This window comes from Homo sapiens, chromosome 5, assembly GCF_000001405.40.
Source record: "Homo sapiens chromosome 5, GRCh38.p14 Primary Assembly".
Lineage (NCBI taxonomy): Eukaryota > Metazoa > Chordata > Mammalia > Primates > Hominidae > Homo > Homo sapiens.
Window position 1 is genome coordinate 154,071,476 of NC_000005.10, and position 1,216 is coordinate 154,072,691.

General features: G+C 47.7%; 1 annotated feature.

Moving 5' to 3' along the window:
* Positions 919-968: an enhancer, noted in NCBI's record as "active region_23472". NCBI's record gives its function as "activates an Ori minimal core promoter by ATAC-STARR-seq in GM12878 lymphoblastoid cells {active_cell/tissue: GM12878}" and the evidence as "EXISTENCE:reporter gene assay evidence [ECO:0000049][PMID:35858748]".

The window sequence follows — 1,216 nt, forward strand, 5'->3', positions numbered from 1 at the left end:
CTGGAGCATCACTCACTCCTGACTCTCTACCTATTTCCTTCCTATACTGGAGTGCCCTGGGGGATTCCCTGGACTTCTCTCTTTTATCTTTGCTTCCTCCCTAACTGATCCCATCCAGCCATAAGGCTTTAAATACCATCTCTGATGGCACATAAACTTAGATATCCAGCCTGAACATTTCTCCTGAACACACCCTTTCAGCATCTCTATTTGGATCTCAAATAGACATCTCTAACTTAACATGTATGAAATCGAACTCCTGATTCCCCTCTCTGGTGAAACCTGGTCCTTCTGCAGTCTTCCCCACCTTAGCAAATGGAAACTGCCTCCTTCTAGTTGCTTGGAGTAAAACTCTGGAAGTCATCCTGACTTTTCACTTTTCTCTTTCACCCTGCATCCAATCCATCAGCAAACCTTGAGAGTTCGACCTTTAAGATAAATCTAGAATCTAACCACTTCTCTTCACCTTCACTGTTTCCACTGAGGTCTGAGCCAGCCGCATGTCTCACCTCTATTATAGCAATAGCCTCCCAACTATACTTCCTGCTTCTTCCCTTGGCCCCTTTAGTCCATTCTCTATCCAGAAACCAGAGTGATCCCACCCTTGGCTGCACATTAGAAACACCTGGAGAGTTTTAGAAATTCTAATCTCCAGGCCATATCTCAGACCAATCTAATCAGAATCTTTGGGGATAGGACTCAGGCACAAGCATGGGTTTTTTCCTTTTCTTTTCTTAAGTCAGATTGTGGTACTCTTCTACCCAGAAACTTCCAATGGCTTCTCAGAATAAAAGTCAAAGCCCCCACACTGGCCATGAAGCACTTCTCAGGCCCACCTTGCCCACCCTTAGGAGAGCAAGGACTTTGTTCTGCTCACTGCTCTGTCCATAGTGCCTAGGACCATGCTTGGCACACAGTAGAGCTCACTAAGTATAAATCGAAAGAATGAAGAAAACCCTGAAACCCACTGAGACCAGACAATAGTACCTGTAGAGCTGGTGATGGCCACAAGAGGCCGCTGTTGTGTCGTGGAATGGACAGGAGAGCGGGCAGCTGCTCTTCCACAGCCAGCAGGCCTAGCAGAGTTTTGAGTGGGAACAGCAGGGGGGCACCTAGGTGGTCAAGCGGACAGCTGGGACGTGGAAACATGTTTATTATCGCCCCCCCAGAGCCTCGTGCTCAACACCAACCCTGTTGGCTCCTAGAGATCAGCTGC